At 46.9% G+C, this 14594-nt stretch overlaps 1 pseudogene, besides 3 other annotated features; it reads right to left on the bottom strand.

Moving 5' to 3' along the window:
* Positions 946-1240: a silencer, noted in NCBI's record as "tiled region #10212; HepG2 Repressive DNase matched - State 5:Enh". NCBI's record gives its function as "represses a minimal TATA promoter and a strong SV40 promoter by Sharpr-MPRA in HepG2 cells {active_cell/tissue: HepG2}" and the evidence as "EXISTENCE:reporter gene assay evidence [ECO:0000049][PMID:27701403]".
* Positions 2155-2333: a silencer, noted in NCBI's record as "fragment chr12:53287796-53287974 (GRCh37/hg19 assembly coordinates)". NCBI's record gives its function as "represses an EF-1alpha promoter that drives an FKBP-Casp9 reporter gene in an ReSE screen in phorbol 12-myristate 13-acetate-treated (for megakaryocytic differentiation) K562 erythroleukemia cells {active_cell/tissue: K562(+PMA)}" and the evidence as "EXISTENCE:reporter gene assay evidence [ECO:0000049][PMID:32094911]".
* On the bottom strand, positions 9936-10586 carry RPL7P41 (ribosomal protein L7 pseudogene 41; annotated as a pseudogene).
* Positions 11246-11540: a silencer, noted in NCBI's record as "tiled region #10657; K562 Repressive non-DNase unmatched - State 12:CtcfO". NCBI's record gives its function as "represses a minimal TATA promoter and a strong SV40 promoter by Sharpr-MPRA in K562 cells {active_cell/tissue: K562}" and the evidence as "EXISTENCE:reporter gene assay evidence [ECO:0000049][PMID:27701403]".

The following is a 14594-nucleotide window of genomic DNA, read 5'->3' as shown; positions in this document are numbered from 1 at the left end:
GTTCAGGGCAGGAGGGGTTAGGACACAGCTGGGTGGGGCAGTGCATCCCCACAGTCCTGCTCCACTGCCACAAGCACAGAGTTCCAGGCAGCCACCCTGTCCATTCAGCATTGGGCTAAGTGCACAAGCCCTTAGCACGACTGAGATGGGGGCATTTCCAGACTTTCTGAAACACCAATGGAGATTAGACAGAGACAGGCAGAGGGTACTGTGAGTGGGGACAGGCTGGTGCAGGAAGCTCCTGTCAGGCTCTGCTGTGCGGTCTCTCTCCAGGGCTCCTGTCTCTGGGTCCTCAGCTTCCCAGCCCCTGGGCTCCCCTCTGAGGGCCCCATCTCTGCACCTCCCTAACTACCACACAGTGCCTCCCTAGCTACCCACATCGATGGAGCTGGGCTTCCAGACTGAGCCCAGGAACCCCCCACTGCCAACCCCTCCCACTCAGCCCCAGGGCCAGGCCCAGGGATTTGCACACTGTCACCTTAGAGGATCTCACTCTTTGGTAGTACTCATTAACAGCACCATTATCCAGAGCAGGGGATCTATTTTGGCAGTGGTCCACAGTAAGAAATTCATTTTATCACCACCTGCAAATATGTATATATACATATATATAACTGAAACAAAAATTTCATGAAACAATACCAACCTTCTGCCTTCTGCTCACATGTAGCCTGGCCCTCAGCAAGAATCAGGTGGGTGGTGTAAGAGCCCAGCGCAGTCACAGCACCCAGTGAGAAGGATCTCTTACCATGGGTGCCCTAAGTCAATATTTTCAATTGTGCCCCTCCCAATCCTCCCTGAAGCCAGTCACCTGTCTTATCTGGCCCTGTTCCCAGAAGCAGGCATGCTGGGGGCAGCCGGGGGCCCCACCAGATAGTCTCCTGGGAGTTTCCACGCCCTGGGTGTTTGCTCAGGGAAAGGCAGGATGGCTCCAGGGAGAATTCCCTTTCCCTCCCTCCCTGCTTGCTCCTTCCAGGTTCTGGTGCATCTACCATGGGATCAAGGTCACCCAGCATTAAGGGGACACCATCCCTCCCATTTATCTTTCAGAAACTACACAGACAGAAGAGCTGGAAATCCAATGGTCATTTAGATGAGGAAACTTAGGAAGGACAGGAGCTGACATTTCTTAAATATCCATTTCACCTGCTTGTGTGTCATCTCATTTCAAGTCTCCAACGATCCTGTGAGGCAGGACTTAAAACCCCATTCATGGAGGTAGAATCAGTCTAAGCTTATGTAAGTGGTGTCCTGACTCTTGACAATACTAGATTTTTTTTTCTTTTTTCTTTTTCTTTCTTTCTTTCTTTCTTTCTTTCTTTCTTTCTTTCTTTCTTTCTTTCTTTCTTTCTTTCTTTCTTTCTTTCCTTTCTTTTTTTCTTTTCTTTTCTTTTCTTTTTTTTTTTTTGAGACAGAGTCTTGCTCTGTCACCCAGGCTGGAGTGCAGTGGTGCAGTCTCGGCTCACTGCAACCTCTGCCTCCCGGGTTCAAGCGATTCTCCTGCCTCAGCCTCCTGAGGAGCTGGGACTACAGGCACCCGTCACCACGCCCGGCTAATTTTTTGTATTTTTAGTAGAGACGGGGTTTCACTGTGTTAGCCCGGATGGTCTCCATCTCCTGACCTCCCAAAGTGCTGGAATTACAGGCGTGAGCCACTAAGCCTAGCTTTTTTTTTTTTTTTGAGTGATGGAGTTTCTCTCTTCTTACCCAGGCTGTAGTGCAGTAGCGCGATCTCGGCTCACTGCAACCTCCACCTCCCAGGTTCAAGAGTTTCTCCTCCCTCAGACTCCGAAGTAGCTGGGATTACAGGTGCCCACCACCACGTCCAGCTAATTTTTTGTATTTTTAGTAGAGACAGGGTTTCGCCATGTTGGGTAGGCTGGTCTCGAACTCCTGACCTCAGATGATCCGCCCACCTCGGCCTCCCAAAATGTTGGGATTACAGGCGTGAACCACTGTGCCCAGCCTTTTTTTAGAGACAGAGTCTCATTCTGTCACCCAGGATGGAGTGCAGTGACACAATCTCGGCTCACTACAACTTTTGCCTCTTGGGTTCAAATGATTCTCCTGCCTCAGCCTCCCAAGTAGCTGGGATTACAGGTGCCCACCACCACGCCCAGCTAATTTTTGTATTTTTAGTAGGGACGAGTTTTCACCATGTTGGCCAGGCTGGTCTTGAACTCCTGGCCTCAAGGAATCCGCCCATGTCGACCTCCCAAAGTGCTGGGATTACAGGCATGAGCCACTGTGCCTGGCCAGTAATACTAGATTTTTAACGCATATAAATGAAAACATTTTTTTTTTTTTGAGACAGAGTTTTGCTCTGTCATTCAGGTTGGAGTGCAATGGCTTGATCTCAGCTCACTGCAACCTCCACCTCCCGGGTTCAAGAGATTCTCCTGCCTCAGCCTTCCAAGTAGCTGGGATTACAGGCGTGCACCCCCATACCTGGCTAATTTTTGTATTTTTAGTAGAGACAGGGTTTTGCCATGTTGGCCAGGCTGGTCTTGAACTCCCGACCTCAAGTGATCCATCTGCCTCAGCCTCTCAAAGTGCTGGGATTACAGGTGTGAGCCACTGCACCCAGCCAACAATTTTTTTTGAATAGGTAACAAATACATTTTATATATAATTCTTTTTTTTTTTTTTTTTTGAGACGGAGTCTTCGCTCTGTCACCCAGGCTGGAGTGCAGTGACATGATCTCGGCTCACTGCCAGCTCCAGCTCCACCTCCTGGGTTCACGCCATTCTCCTGCCTCAGCCTCCCGAGTAGCTGGGACTACAGGCATCTGCCACCACACTTGGCTAATTTTTTTTATTTTTTAGTAGAGACGGGGTTTCACCATGTTAGCCAGGAGGCCTCGGCCTCCCAAAGTGCTGGGATTACAGGTGTGAGCCACCACATCCGGCCTTTATACATAATTCAAAAGTACAAGAGGACCCTTCCCCAGTCAGCCAGTTTCTGTTCCAGAGGGCAATTAATGCTACCAGTTTCCTGTGATTCATTCCAAGTAGAAGTTATTATATATAGTTACATAGGGACATACATGCATACATTTCTATCTATCCTTCATGAAGGGTATTGTACTATATGTGTTGTCACATGCCTTGCTTTAACATTCACCCAATACCTGTTCCTTCCATATCAGTATACAAGTTGCTTCTCCACTCTTTTTCACAGCTGCATAATATTCCACTTTGGGATGTGCCACAATTTACTTAACCAGTCCTCTATTGGTATTTGCTATGACAATGGTGAGGATATCTTAATAATTCCTACAAGTGGAATTGCTGAAGCAAAATGTGTGCACATTTAAATTTTAGTAGACTTTTTGTTTTTAAAGCTTGATTTCCTATGGGACTGAATTTTAGTTTTTTAGAAAATTTACATGTGTAGAAGAAGGTTCCTGTTTGACTATTCCAGATGAGCCAGCCATTATCCCCCACTTCCCTCCACCCTGCCTTTCCCGACCCAACCACCCAGGATTAAAATGATGAGTCTTCCAAGCATTTGTGGACTCTTCTGAAGATATTTTAATTCCAAGGTTTTGCTCTGCCTGCCCGCTGATCTGGGCTAAGGTGGTCTAGGAGCTCCCCTGTAGTAGGGGGATCTGAAGGTGGGCTAAGGACCGAGGGCCAGGCTGACTGGAGTGTAAGGTGGTGGGAATGGAGGAGTGAATGTTAAAGCAAGGCATGTGACAATGCGGACAGTACATACCCTTCATGAAGGATAGATAGAAATGTGTGCATGCATGTCCCTACGTAATTATATATCATAGATTCTACCTGTTGGGAAAGGAAGAGGAAGCACCACTGCAAGGAAAGGAAGGCAGGGAAGGATACCAGCATGGTGGGTGGCCCCCTAGTTCACTCTCCGCGCTGCCCTTTTACACATTGTGGTGGGCATAGTTGCTTTGTCTAGCCAGGACCCCTTCCCCCTTCTTCTAGTAATGCAAAGCTCCCCCACCTCCACTCCTGCCACGCCCCACTTCTTTTCAGGAACTGTTCCTCCTAAGATCACAGGACCTCTGTCCAGGCACACAGGGTTCACAATGGGCCAGCCTTGGCCAATCACAAGTCCCTTTGTTTCCTCCTTGCTGAGGCATATTGTACATACAATAAAATGCAAAATGTGCTTTAATGGGGAATGTACAACCTGATGAGTTTTTTTATTTTTATTTTTATTTATTTTTTTTGAGATGGAGTTTCACTCTTGTTGCCCAGGCTGAAGTGCAATGGCACGATCTCGGCTCACTGCAACCTCCGCTGCCCAGGTTCAAGCGATTCTCCCGCCTCAGCCTCCTGAGTAGCTGGGACTACAGGCATGCGCCACCACGCCGGGCTAATTTTGTATTTTTAGTAGAGACGGGGTTTCTCCGTGTTGGTCAGGCAACTCCCGACCTCAGGTGATCCACCCGCCTCAGCCTCCCAAAGTGCTGGGATTACAGGCGTGAGCCACCGTGCCCGGCGCCTGATGAGTTTTAACTTATGTTCACACCTGTAATGTAGAACATTTCCTATATCACAGAAGGTTCACTTGGGCCCCTTGCCAGAGTGCACTTTTTTTTAGTAGACTTATTTTTTAAGAACAGTTTTAGCTAGGCGCTGTGGCTCATGCCTGTAATCCCAGCACTTTGGGAGGCTGAGGCGGGTGGATCACGAGGTCAGGAGATCGAGACCATCCTGGCTAACATGGTGAAACCCCGTCTCTACTAAAAAATACAAAAAAATTATCTGGGTGTGGTGGCAGGCGCCTGTAGTCCCAGCTACTCGAGAGGCTGAGGCAGGAGAATGGTGTGAACCCAGGAGGCAGAGCTTGCAGTGAACTGAGATCATGCCACTGCACTCCAGCCTGGGCGACAGAGAAAGACTCCGTCTCAAAAAAAAAAAAAAAAAAAAAAAAGAAAAAAAGAGCAATTTTAGGTTCATAGCAAAATCGAGCAGGAGGTAGAGGGTTCTCATACACATTCTGCCCCTACACCTGCATCCCACACCAGAGGGCTACATTTGTTACAACATCATCAACATCCCACCTCAGAGGGATACATTTGTTACGATTGATGAACCTACATTGACACATCATTATTACCCACAGTCCATAGTTCACATTAGAGTTAACTCTTAGTGTGGACATTCTGTGGGGGCCATGTAGCCACCATTACAGTACCATACAGAATAGTTCACTGCCCCCAAAATCAGAGTGCATTCTCAAAAATATGAATCAGATTCAGTTACTTCCTTATATGGAAAACCCTTTATTTTTATTTTATTTTTTTCTTTTCTTTCTTTATTTTTTATTATACTTTAAGTTCTAGGGTACATGTGCACAACATGCAGGTTTGTTACATATGTATACATGTGCCATGTTGGTGTGCTGCACCCGTTAACTCGTTAACTCTTCATTTACATTAGGTATATCTCCTAATGCTATCCCTCCCCTCTACCCCCACCCCACGACAGGCCCTGGTGTGTGATGTTCCCCACCCTGTGTCTAAGTGTTCTCATTGTTCAATTCCCACCTATGAGTGAGAACATGCGGTGTTTGGTTTTCTGCCCTTGCAATAGTTTGCTCAGAATGATGGGAAAACCCTTTACTTTTGACACCCAGAATAAAGCCCTAAATCTTGACTTGGCCCACAGGCTGTGCCTACTCTTCCTCCTCTGAGGCCTCATCCTGGCCACTCTGTCCCTTGCTCTCTGATGCAGTGGTGCAGGCTTTTCAGGGCATAGCCTACATGGAATTTGCTTCTGCTCAGGGCATTGCATGGCTGGCCCCCTGCTTGGAACACCCTGCCTTTCCTAGTCACTCCCAAGCTTTCCGCTCAAACGCAGCTTCCCCAAGAAAGTCTTCTGACACCACAAGACAAGACAAAAAGTTTTATGACACCACAAGACAAGAAAGTCTTCTAGACACCACAAACTGAGTGGCGTGTTTCTATGATAAGTTCCCAAGGCACCCTGTATTTTCTCCTTGTAAATTACAGTCACTCATTCATCTGCAGAGGTATTTTATTAATATCAGCCTTTCCCCATACACTGTAAGCTCCATGAGGGCAGGGACACACCATATCTGCTTGGTTCTCCACTGATTCTTCAGTGTTTAGCAGAGTGCCAGGCACATAGTAGGTGGTCAATAAAAATTATCAAATAAAAAGGAATGAACCATTTCCATATTGATAGCCATCTTTTTTATTTTTTTGAGACAAAGTCTCTCTCTGTCGCCCAAGCTGGAGTGCAATGGCATGATCTCGGCTCACTGCAACCTTCACCTCCTGGGTTCAAGCGATTCTCCTGCCTCAGCCTCCTGAGCAGCTGGGGCTACAGGCACATGCCACCATGCCTGGCTAAGTTTTGTATTTTTAGTAGAGACGGGGTTTCATTATTTTGGCCAGGCTGGTCTTGAACTCCTGACCTCATGATCAACTCACCTTGGCCTCCCAAAGTGTTGAGAGTACAGGAGTGAGCTACCGAGCCTGGCCCAAACAATTTGGGAGTTTGATAAGTTTTTTTTTTTTTTTTTTGAGACAGTCTCACTTTGTTGCCAGGCTGGAGTGCAGTGGCATGATCTCGGCTCACTGCAACCTCTGCCTCCTGGGTTCAAGTGATTGTTTGGCCTCAGCCTCCTGAGTAGCTGAGACTACAGGCATGTGCCGCCACAACCAGCTAATTTTTGTATTTTTAGTAGAGACAGGGTTTCACCATGTTGGCCAGGGTGCTCTCGATCTCCTGACCTCATGATCCGCCTGCCTCAGCCTCCTAAAGTGCTGGGATTACAGGTGTGAGCCACGATGCCTGGCCAGCCATCTATTTCTTTTTCTGCAATTTTAACCCTTTTAAACTCTTTCCTTTTGGGGAGATATATTAATTTGCTCAGACCTAGTCCAGAAACAGCTGGTGGATTGATCTTTGAAAGTATTTCCCCATGAAGTGGCCTTGAAGAGATTCTGGACCACACCCAGCCCATGACAGCAACTGACACTCTTTAGGTGCCTGAGGAAGGGGTGAGCAGAACAGAGTTAGGGCAGAACTTGGCTTGCAACATGTCTAGAGTGTGTGCCTGGTGCCTGGGAGCTGGGGAGGATGGTGGCAGAGGAGAATACAAAGACACATAACACAGGATCCTTGTCCTCAAACTCTTTCTAGCTGATCTGGAAAAACAATACATATTCCAGAAAAGTCAATTTCATTTGTTCAGTCATTCAGCAAACATTGGGCATCTAGGGTGAACCAGTCCCTGTCTCAGGCACAGGATGGAGGAGGGACTAGGTGTTTGGAACATGGCAAGGTGAGGAAGAGTGTGCATGGTGGACTCTGGGGATTTAGTGAGGCATTGAACCCTGGTGGTCCCCTAATACCTGTTCTCCCCTTTTCCTCAGTAATTAGAACCCTATTTTTTATTTGGGCTACGGCTTTCTGGAATAAAGACATTTTCCTGCATTGTTTATGATTAAGCTGTGGCCATGTTTCAAAGGGATAGAAGTAGAAGTGGAGGGTACAGGGTCTAAGAAGTGTCCTTAGGCCAGGCGCAGTGGCTCATGCCTATAATCCCAGCACTTTGGGAGGCTGAGGTGGGCAGGTCACCTGAGGTCGGGAGTTCGAGACCAGTCTGACCAACATGGAGAAACCCCGTTTCTACTAAAAATACAAAATTAGCTGGGCGTGGTTGGTGGCGCATGCTTGTAATCCCAGCTACTCGGGAGGCTGAGGCAGGAGAATCACTTGAACCTGGGAGGCGGAAGTTGCGGTGAGCCGAGATTGTGCCATTGCACTTCAGCCTGGCAACAAGAGCGAAACTCCGTCACAAAAAAAAAAAAGTGTCCTTAAAGGGAGAGGAAGTGTGAACTGCTTCTTTCGCCCCTCCTTTCTGCCAGCAGGAATGCACGCATAATGGCCGAAGTTTAGCAGCCATGTTGGACCATGAGTGACCTGGTGAATGGAAGTCATCCTTGGCCGAGCAAGAAAGAGGTGGGATCTGGGTCCCCTCCATAAAGTAGTGCCATACTGGCCTTGGACAGACTATCTCTATAGGTCTGGGAATTGAGAGATAAATATCTGTCTGGATTGAGCCACTGCTTTTTTTTTTTTTTTCTTTGTTACTCCCAGCTGAAGCAAATCCTAAGACTGAGCACATCAGCTTGTCTCAGAGGTGTGGTTGCCAGAGGTGGCTGGGTGATGAGCAGAGAAAACACTGGCGGGGAAGCAAACTGGCTTCCACATTCTTGGCTTGCTCTGGGACACTTGGGAAATCCCTGCCTTCTCTGGGCCTTGGTCCCCTTTTCTTGAACAAAGAAGAGGGGCTGGACTTGGTGCTTTTCACAATACCTTTGAGCCAACCCACTTTATTCTCTGGACATTTTGGTGGGTCACAGAGGCCTGGGATGCAGGGCTGAGATATTTGTAGTTGATCTCAGCAGCAGTGGGTGACGTTGGAGATTGTTTTTCTTTCTTTTCTTTTCCCTTCCCTTCCCTTCTCTTTTTTTTATTTTTATTTTTACTTTATTTTATTTTATTATTTTTTTGAGATGGAGTCTCTCTCTGACACCCAGGCTGGAGTGTGGTGGCACAATCTCGGCTCACTGCAAGCTCCGCCTCCCGGGTTCATGCCATTCTCCTGCCTCGGCCTCCCGAGTAGCTGGGACCACAGGCACTCACCACTACGCCTAGCTAATTTTTTATATTTTTAGTAGAGATGGGGTTTTACCGCATTAGCTAGGATGGTCTCGATCTCCTGACCTCATGAGCCGCCCGCTTCGGCCTCCCAAAGTGCTGGGATTATAGGCGTGAGCCACCGAGCCCGGCCCTTTTCTTTTCTTGTTTCTTTTTCTTTTTCTTTTCTTTTCTCTTTTATTTTCTTTTGAGATGGAGTCTCATTCTGTTGCCCAGGCTAGAGTGCAGTGGCACGATCTGAGCTCACTGCAACCTCTGCCTCCCAGGTTCAAGCAATTCTTGTGCCTCAGCCTCACCAGTATCTAGGATTACATGTGCGCGCCACAACACCTGGCTAATTTTTGTATTTTTAGTAGAGATGGGGTTTCACCATGTTGGCCAGGCTGGTCTTGAACTCCTGACCTCAGGTACTCCACCCACCTCAGCCTCCCAAGGTGCTGGGATTATAGGTGTGAGCCACCTTGCCTGGACTGTTTTTCTTTTTTTGTTTTTCTTGAGGCATGGGGAATAAGGAAGGGAGTTGATGGAAGCAGTTTCAGGAAGATGGGCCCTGGCATCCTCTGCAAGGGACACATGATTAAAGTCAGCACAGTGGGATAAGCCCTGGGTGAGGGGGCAGAAGACCTAGGTGGGCACCCTGGCTCTGCCAGTCACACAGGATCTATGACCCTGAGGATGTTGCCTCCCTGCTCTGAACTTCAGTTTGCTGCCAGTGAAATGGGGACAATCAGATTGCAGTGTGTTCATGAGGATTAAAGGCAGTAATGTTTATTAAGGTGATGCACGTAAAGATGTTTTGCAAACTATAAATAAAGATGCATGCTCTTTCCCTTAGGATCCCCTTCGAGATGAACTATCTCTCTGACCCCTTCTGTGTCCCTCACCCACCCCAGGGCAGCACATTCACTTTCCATAACCTCTATTCAGGTTTTCTTTTTCTTTTTTTCATTTTGAAAGCAGGAACTGTTTATTAATTGACCAGATTAGAAAAATAATCAAGGTAGCCGGGCACAGTGGCTCATGCCTGTAATTCCAGCACTTTGGGAGGCCGAGGTGGGCGGATTACAAGGTCAGGAGTTTGAGACCAGCCTCGTCTCTACTAAAAATACAAAAAATTAGTTGGGTGTAGTGGCAGGTGTAGTGGCAGCTACTCAGGAGGCTGAGGCAGGAGAATCGCTTGAACCCAGGAGGCAGAGGTTGCAGTGAGCCGAGACCATGCCACTACACTCCAGCCTGGGCAGCAGAGTGAGACTCTATCTCAAAAAAAAAAAAAAAATTATGGTGGACCCTTAGTTCATCCTTCTAATAAGCCTATTGATGTAGTCTTCCCTGTTGCCAACATTCATTTTCTACAAAATGGGTGGTCTTTTTCTTCATTCCACCTCATGGAGAGGATAATTTGAAGGGCCACAGGAAGTTATTTGCTTTTTTGAAGAGTTTTCCAACAGTATAGATCTCATGAATCAGAACCTCCATGCAGATGATGCTGTATTTACCAAGAGGTCAAGCAATCAAAGTGTTCTCTGTCAAGGCAGCTCACTTCTTATTAATTTTGTCATAACCACACTTACAGATTAGTTCATTTACTGACTTCATATTTGGGTACCCCCATGCAATATATGGTTCTACAATCCTCAGCATGTTAGTGGAAGCCTTGTTGAGCTTCACAAAGCTTCCATTGAAGATTTGACAAAGGTGAAAAAGTTGCAATACCTTTTGGTCCTGTGGGCTCACACATTGATACCTCTGATTCTGATGACCGCCAACTTGGTTGGGTTCTGCAGGTACATAGAGGTTGCCAGCTTTGCTTGCCATCTGAGCCAGTTGAATCTCAGTTCTATCTATCTGCCTATATTCCTTGTGATAGTGCTTCACTTTTCCATAGATAAGCTTCCTCCTCGCCTTTCTTTCTTTCTTTTTTTTTTTTGAGACAGAGTTTTGCTCTTGTTTTCCAGGCTAGAGTGCAATGAATGGTGTGCTCTTGGCTTACTGCAACTTCTGCCTCCTGAGTTCAGGCAATTCTCATGCCTCAGCCTCCCGAGTAGCTGGGATCACAGGTGCCTGCTACCACGCCCGGCTAATTTTTGTATTTTTAGTAGAGATGAGGTTTCTCCATGTTGGCTAGGCTGGTCTTGAACTCCTGACCTCAGGTGATCGGCCCTCCCAAAGTGCTGGGATTACAGGTGTGAGTCACTGAGCTTGGCTCTCCTTGCCTTTTGAAGTATCGTTTGGGCAAACTTCTTTCTCAGGCAGGCAAAATAATATGGAAAAAAGCTCAGGTTTTTCCAGGACACCTCCATGGTTCCAGCCAGGAAAGAGCTCCATTCAGGTTTTCCTCCTCATGTCTGTATTGGGTTTCAGTTTCCAAAGCACTCAGGAAGGCTCTGCCTTGTTTGATCCACACATGTGCCCTGTGAGGCCGATTAAAACCCCATTTTATAGGCCCCGGAGGGGCAGACTCTCAGGGTTGCCTAGCTATTTGGTGGCCGCATGGATCAGAACAAAGGGCTCTAAACCTGAGCTTTTTCCAGATTATTTTTCCTGCCCAGATGCTTCTAACTTAGGAGAAACTTGCAGGCTTGGAGGAGAGGACCCGAGTGGGACCATGCTAGTTGGGCCTGCCTTGGGGTGGAGAGGGACAGTCACCACCTTTGCTCCTGCGGGTCTCTTTATCCAGGCTCCTGGCGCCCCCTGGAGGGCATTGTGGGGAGTGTCCAGCCAAACACCCCGCAGTGCCACCGTCTCCTGGCTTCCAGGTGGTCCCCTGACACTACATTTCCTTCCAGCTCCGTCTACTTTTGGGTATTTATTAAAACAGTAAGACTTGTGAAATTAAATAATTCAAACTTAAAGGTGTTGGAACTTAAATTATTTTGAGCCTTGAGTGGAGGATAACTATGTGGCCCGTGCCACACACATGCAGCTGTGACTTCCTCCTTTTCCTGTAAAAGATTAGAAATAACCAAATAGTGTCAGAGATAAGACTCCCTCAGATCATTACCCCTCCTCATGGAATGTTAACGCAATCTTCTCTGGAATGTAGCAAGCTGTAATCAATCAAATCGGTGTGACCTATGCACGGGCTTTGTATGGAAAATGTGGAACTCTGTTAGACTTCCCTGTTTCTGCCTATAGAAGTAAAACCCTGGGAACACTGACTCCATTCCTTTGAAGTCTGTCTTTTCTGGGAGGCCATCTGGGTGGCTAGCCTCTAACTTTTGTTTTTTTGTTTTAGAAACAGGGTCTCACTTTTTCATCCAGGCTGGAGTGCAGTGGCTCAGTCTCAGCTCACTGCAGCCTCTACCTCCTGGGCTCAGGCAATCCTCCCATCTCATCCCCCCAAGTAGCTGGCATTACAGGTGCATGCCACCACAACAAGTTAATTTTTTGTAGTTTTGGTAGAGACAGGGTTTCACCATGTTGCCCAGGTTGGTCTCGAACTCTTGAGCTCAAGTGATCCGCCCATCTCGGCCTCCAGAAGTGTGGGATTACAGGTATGAGCCACCATGCCCTGGCCTATCCTCAAACTTAATGCTCAGATAACATCAATACTTAGGCATATTTCTGACTCTCATTGTTAAAAGTTGACAGAATATAAGACCTTGGTTTTTTATTATTTATTTATTTATTTATTTATTTATTTATTTTTTGGCCAAGGGAATAAAAATCTTAAATGCCAATGGGGGCAGGCAGCTAAGGTAAAAGAACAAAGTAAGTCTATAAGAAAATGCAGACAGACATTATGCTGGGCATGGTGGCTCACGCCTGTAATCCCAGCACTTTGGGAGGCCAAGGCAGGAGGATCAAGAAGTCAGGAGTTCGAGACCAGCCTGGCCAAAATGGTGAAACCCCATCTCTACTAAAAATACAAAAAATTAGCCAGGTGTGGTGGCGTGCACCTGTAATCCCAGCTACTAGGGAGGCTGAGGCAGGAGAATCGCTTGAACCCAGGAGGTGGAGGTTGCAGGGAGCTGAGATCACACCACTGCACTCCAGCCTGGGTGACAGAGTGAGACTCCATCTCCCAAAAAAAAAAAAAAAAAAAAAGAAAATGTAGACAGACACATAATGCTGTTTGCTCATTGAAACTTTGGTATATTCCTTGTGTTCACAAAGAATTATGCTTTGCCTTACTTTTTTTTTTTTTTTTTGACGGACTGTCACTCTGTCACCCAGGCTAGAGTGCAGTGGTGTGATCTTGGCTCACTGCAACCTCCGCCTCCCAGGTTCAAGCAATTCTCCTGCCTTAGCCTCTGAAGTAGCTGGGACTACAGGCGCATGCCAACATACCCGGCTAATTTTTGTCATTTTAGTAGAGATGGGGTTTCACCATATTGGTCAGGCTGGTCTCGAACTCCTGACCTCAGGGGATCCACCCGCCTTGGCCTCCCAAAGTGCTGGGATTACAGGTGTGAGCCACCGCGCCCAGCCTGCCTTACTTTTTTTGAAGCATATGGGGCTCTTATTCTCTCACATAGATTGAAATGTAGACACAAGTGTGGTTTAATTTTCTGTTTCTCCTCTGGCTTTGCTCTTCCCCCCGGGTGAGAAATCCGAGGGGTCCAGGGAGTGCACATGCCCAGAAAGGGCCTGTGTCCTGAAGTCCTGTCCAAATGGCCTAAGCATTCTTCCAGGAGCTGCTTGGACTTCTTCCCCATGCCCCACTTCCTGCATACTATTAGTCCTGGGGCAGCTGGGGTGAGAATTAGGGGTGTCTAGATCTGCACTGTCCAGTAAGGTTGCCACTAGTCACATATGGCTACGTGACTTGAAATGCAGCTAATCCGAATTGAGATGTTTTGAGAATATAAATTGTACACTCAATCTTGAAGGCTTAATATAAGGGAAAAAGAATGTAAAATATCATATTATTAATTTTTTATATTAATTACATATTGAAATGATATTTGGAGTATATTGGGTTAAATAAAATATATTATTAAAATTAATTTCACCTACTTTTTAAAATGTGTTTACTAGAAAGTTCCATAAGTGGCTTCCATTTGTATTTAATTTACTTATATATTTCTTTTTTTTTTTTTTTTTTGAGATGGAGTCTTACCCTGTTGCCCAGGCTGGAGTGCAGTGGCACAATCTCGGCTCACTGCAACCTCCACCTTACGGGTTCAAGAGGTTCTCCTGCCTCAGTCTCCTGAGTAGCTAGGACTATAGGCACATGCCACCACGCCTGGCTAATTTTTTTTTTTTTGAGACAGAGTCTCGCCCCGCCTAGGCTGGAGCGCAATGACATGATCTCAGCTCACTGCAACCTCTGCCTCTTGGGTTCAAACGATTCTCCTGCCTCAGCCTCCGGAGTAGCTGGGATTAGAAGTGCCCACCACTACGCCCAGCTAATTTTTGTATTTTTAGTAGAGACGGGGTTTCACCATGTTGGCCAGGCTGGTCTCGAACTCCTGACCTCGTGATCCGCCTGCCTTGGCCTCCCAAAGTGCTGGGATCATAGGCGTGAGCCACCATGGCCAGCCAGCTAATTTTCTGTGTTTTTAGTAGAGACGGGGTTTCACCATGTTAGCCAGGATGGTTACTTACATATTTCTATTGGCCTAGTACAGATAGCACTTGGAAGAGCAGCTGGGGCATCCACAGACTTGTGTGCCAGGCCCCTGGCCTGCAGGAAGGAGCTGAGGTGAGAAGAGCTGGGAACTATGGCTCTCCTTTTGCACCTTTTCCTGGTTCCTCAAATGTTGGGATCAGATCTGAGGCAGCCTCTTTACTCACCCTCTGCCAATCATAGCCACCTGGGAATGTGGTTCCAGAGTGGCCAGAATTTTCAACTTTGCAAAATAAATTAGAAATTTGGATTTTTACATGAAATCTCTTTATTTTCATTTTATTTTATTTTATTTATTTATTTTTTTTAGAGACAGAGTCTTGCTGTGTTGCCAGGCTGGAGTGCAGTGGTTGCC

The sequence above is a fragment of the Homo sapiens genome, chromosome 12 (genome assembly GCF_000001405.40).
Source record: "Homo sapiens chromosome 12, GRCh38.p14 Primary Assembly".
NCBI classification, from domain to species: Eukaryota; Metazoa; Chordata; class Mammalia; order Primates; family Hominidae; genus Homo; species Homo sapiens.
Note: the sequence above shows the minus strand (reverse complement) of the source record. Positions and strands in the feature narration are given on the sequence as shown.